The sequence below is a fragment of the Homo sapiens genome, chromosome 20 (assembly GCF_000001405.40).
Source record: "Homo sapiens chromosome 20, GRCh38.p14 Primary Assembly".
Classification (NCBI taxonomy): Eukaryota; Metazoa; Chordata; class Mammalia; order Primates; family Hominidae; genus Homo; species Homo sapiens.
In genome coordinates, this window is record NC_000020.11 from 58,802,952 (window position 1) to 58,806,225 (window position 3,274).

Genomic DNA, 3,274 nt, shown 5'->3' on the forward strand with positions numbered 1-3,274 from the left:
TCAACCTCAAATCTCCCCTGAAACCTTTTGAATGAATAATCCATTTTGGAATTATCCTTAAGCCAGCGTTTCCAAGGCTGGTTTGGAGGATGGGGTGCTTTAGTAAGAATACAGATGCCGGAACCCCATTCCTGGAAGCTCAAAACCAGCAAGTCTGGGACAGGGCTTGGCACCCTGTGTTGTTCAAGTTTATGTAGCAGAATGGCCAGGTTTACACTCCCCGCTCTCCACCCGCCAAGGAGAAGAAAATGCTAAATTAGGCCCGTTAACTTAGCTGCTGCCTCACAGGGGGTAATTTGTAGACCCAAGGCTGAACCTGAAGGCTGGAGCTAAGAGTGAACAAGAAGATGGGTTTTCCTCTCTGGTAACACAAGTTCAGTTGCAATTTAGATCCCCAAGAAATGTACCTGGGGTCTTTGGAAATGACCTGAATTTGCAATCTGTGTTACTCCACCAGCCCCTAGAAATGCTGGGAGGTCACCAGGGTACAGTTCTTCTATCCCATAATTGTCCTGGCTTCCAGGAAATGGGAAGGGGGCTGGGAGGGGGCGGGCCTATAGCCTTATCTTCCCCTGCAGCCTCATCAAAATGGACGGGAAACAATAGGTGAACCCGCCAAGTAGGCTGGAGGTATTGAAATCTCTGGGCATGGATGGTGGTTCGGTTGGTGGAATGTCCCTTTCTCTCGGAAGACAATCGAGTGGCCTTACCTGAGAGCAAGGAACATGGCGGCAGGGCTCGGAAGAGGAACCCAGACGTCACCTCCGAGGCCATGGCCCCGGCTGCCTCCTGCCGGTCCTCCTCGGGCGATCTCCCCGACCAAGCGCTTTTCAGATTCTGAAAGGAGGGGGTTTCAACCTGATCCTAAAGTGCCTGGACAGTGGAAGGAATTGATCCCCCACAGGCCCTTCTCCCCTCCGACCGCAGCCCTTCCTGGTCTGCTGAGTTCAGGAGGCACCAGTGTCGACCCCCAGGTGAACTTCTTTCCATTTGCTCCACTTAGGATTAAAGGGAGTGGGGCTGGGGCTGGGGATGGGCCAGGCTGGGGTGAATTTCCATGGCTGGCCCTCTACTCTCCCCCACTGGGGAACTTTCTGGGACCAGAAACTTCAAGTGCAGAGAAGCACAAGTGGCCGCTCCTTCCAGTCACCGCCCTCCTTGCCACATTTCCATTAGCACCAAAATCACAACATCCAGAGCCTGGATGGCTTCGCGGCTTGGATAATTATTTTCTCATTAGTTCCATTCACATTCACCTGCGATCTTCATTAGACACTGATGTATATATAAAACGGTCATCTTTGGGTATACGCAGCCAACTGGGCCCACTGCGTCACTGGCGCCTGCCCCCAGCCCTTCACTCCACACCCACTCCCTCCAGTGTGGGCAGTGGGCAAGGGTTCCAGGCTCCCACGCATGTGCAGGAGGAAGCGTCCTGGGGGGCTGGGGCAGATGGCCTCACACTGTTCCTAGGCTTCTGCCTCTGCTGCCTGGACGCCCACCATTAGCAGGGCAGTGTGAAGGCTTGACAATCGCCCCTTCTTGTGCCTGGGACCATGCGTGGTTGGATCACGAGGGACCCTGCAGGACAGCTGGAGTACCTTAGAGTCTGCAGGCTTCCTGTCTTCCCAGAATCACCTAGAATATGTTCTGTCTCTGGGGCTGACAGCCCAGGAAGTTGACATTCCAAGCCCCCAAATGGCCAGTTGTATCCACTCGTCCCACAGCGCTTCTTGAAGGGCCACTCTGGGGGCAGTCGCTGTGTTAGCTGTCAGACTTCAGCAGGGCATCAAGGAGAGCCCCATCCTCGCAGAATGGAATACGGAAGAACACACGCACAATCGCCAGTATGTGGCTGTCTTTGACCTGCAAGAGCAGCGATTTCATTTAGTTAGACTTAATCCACTGCAGGCAAACAAAGAGATGATAAGCAAAGGCCAGGAATGTGTTATAGAACTAAGTGCTGCAGTGGAAGGAGAGCAGGGCCAGGGGCTTCTGCGCAGAGAAGGGGGAGAGGGCAGGAGTGTGCGGTGGATCCCAACCACCTGCAGGAACAGGTGCTGGCCCAGCTGAGGAGGCAAAACCACGACACCAGAAGACGAGCAGATTGCCTTTTCCAGAATACCTCCCTGGGAGTCTCCGTCTGCACCCAGGAGAGCTTGGAGAAGTCCCCTGAGGGAGCCCAGCCCCTCCCTGGATGGATGCTTTTGTTTGCTTTGTAGTGGCTGGTGCAGGCTTGGGCCAGAACTGAGTCGCTGGACAACAGAGGCAGGGCTCTATCTCCATGAGCCTCCTCTCCAGCTTCCTCCCACCACACTACCCTCTCCTCTGATGAGACATAAAATGACCCCCAGTTTGGACATGCCCAGGCCCCTCTCCAATGTGGCCGTGCATTCTGAACAAGCCGTCATGGGCAGTGTCTTCTGGAATCAGCTGTGGACAGCCCTCGCCCCTCCTCAGGCACCCTGGGGCTGGTTCTGGCCCCTCTAGAGTCCCTCATGCCTCTCGGGGTGGCAACCTGCCTCTGGAGTCAGACCTGGGGTTGAGTCCCCATCTGCAAGGTCCCATGTCTGTGTAGCTGTGGGTGGGTCGCCCAAGCTCTCAGAGCCTCTCTCTGCCCACCTGTGAAGGGGGATCATGCCAGCACTTTCCTTGTATGATCCAATGAGATGAGGTGTGCACAGTCAGCATTCAAACCACGTCAAATAGTTTGGGTTCTTTTTTGTCTTCCGTAGGGTAGCTGCAGGTGGTTCCCTGAAGCAAAGTCCACTCATGTCTGTTCTACCTCTAGCAGTCTCCAGCACTATTTTCAGGATTGTCTTAAACCCTCAAAAAGATGGCCCACTCCTGACCTTCCAGAAACATTTCTACAGACCAGCCAGAAACTCAGGTTCCCCAGGAGCTTGCCTTTCCCCAGCTCCAGGTTCACAGCCTCCATGAAAGTAGAAAGACTAACAAGCTTTCTAGAAGAGGAAAATTAACAAATGAGATGTCTTTCAAAGAGTGCATGCAAGGAGGGCCATGCTGTAGCCAGCTCCAAATAAATAGGCACTTTGGGTATTTCCAAGGCAAATGGGAGAGCCGGGGGCTTGTGAGATGCTGCTTCTCCGTGACAGTGACTCTGCAAATATCACCCTCAGCCCGCACGGCTGGAATTCTCTTTGCCCCAATTAGGAGAAGCCATTATGTCCCGCTCCACTGGAACCCCTCCTGTGTTTTTCTGCAATGTAATTTGGAGATCACTTGCATTTAAGTATCCCATAAACAACATCAC

General features: G+C 53.7%; 2 annotated features.

The window, feature by feature from the left end:
- Positions 235-938: an enhancer, noted in NCBI's record as "H3K4me1 hESC enhancer chr20:57378241-57378944 (GRCh37/hg19 assembly coordinates)". NCBI's record gives its function as "activates a minimal SCP1, AML or CMV promoter by ChIP-STARR-seq in naive H9 embryonic stem cells {active_cell/tissue: H9 hESC(naive)}" and the evidence as "EXISTENCE:reporter gene assay evidence [ECO:0000049][PMID:30033119]".
- Positions 2,345-3,046: an enhancer, noted in NCBI's record as "H3K27ac-H3K4me1 hESC enhancer chr20:57380351-57381052 (GRCh37/hg19 assembly coordinates)". NCBI's record gives its function as "activates a minimal SCP1, AML or CMV promoter by ChIP-STARR-seq in primed H9 embryonic stem cells {active_cell/tissue: H9 hESC(primed)}" and the evidence as "EXISTENCE:reporter gene assay evidence [ECO:0000049][PMID:30033119]".